Source organism: Homo sapiens, chromosome 4 (genome assembly GCF_000001405.40).
Source record: "Homo sapiens chromosome 4, GRCh38.p14 Primary Assembly".
In the NCBI taxonomy this organism is placed as follows: domain Eukaryota; kingdom Metazoa; phylum Chordata; class Mammalia; order Primates; family Hominidae; genus Homo; species Homo sapiens.
Window position 1 is genome coordinate 39,637,922 of NC_000004.12, and position 551 is coordinate 39,638,472.

Genomic DNA, 551 nt, shown 5'->3' on the forward strand with positions numbered 1-551 from the left:
CCGACTCTCTCGATGCAAAAGTAACACATTCTATTAAGGCCACAGCCTCGGTTTTGCCAACTGGGGCAACTGAAAACATCCTACCGACTCTCTACAGCTAGCAAACCATCTCGGCTAAAATCCTGGCACATATAAACAGCCACTTTGGTGAAGTCTGCCTTTAAACAGCAACACGGGACTTCGGGTAGAGCCGGTAACCAGTTTATCACACACTATTAGTTCCAATAAAGGGTGCTGCTACCTCTTTACTGTCAGCCTTGGTTCCACTTACTGAGCAAACAGAAAAAGGGGATCCTTTAAATTCGCGACACAATAGGAGCTAAAAAGCTCTCGCTTTCAGGGTGTCAGCTTTCTCGTCTCACTTATCACAACAAAGGACGCATCCTAGTGACTTCACCGTACCCAGAAAGGGCTGAGGGAGACGGTAAACAAGATAGTGTGGATTTCAGGATTTGTGAGTTTTTCCTTCCAGCTACGACTCTCTTTTTACTCCATGATACGCCTCCACCCGTCGACAATCTGATCCTAAAAATAAAACCACCCGTGGCTAC

General features: G+C 46.3%; 1 protein-coding gene across 4 annotated transcripts in view; it reads right to left on the reverse strand.

Moving 5' to 3' along the window:
- The window catches only part of SMIM14 (small integral membrane protein 14), a 92,530-nt gene that overhangs the window by 91,586 nt on the left and 393 nt on the right, over positions 1–551 (reverse strand). The gene's annotated exons all lie outside the window — the stretch shown is intronic.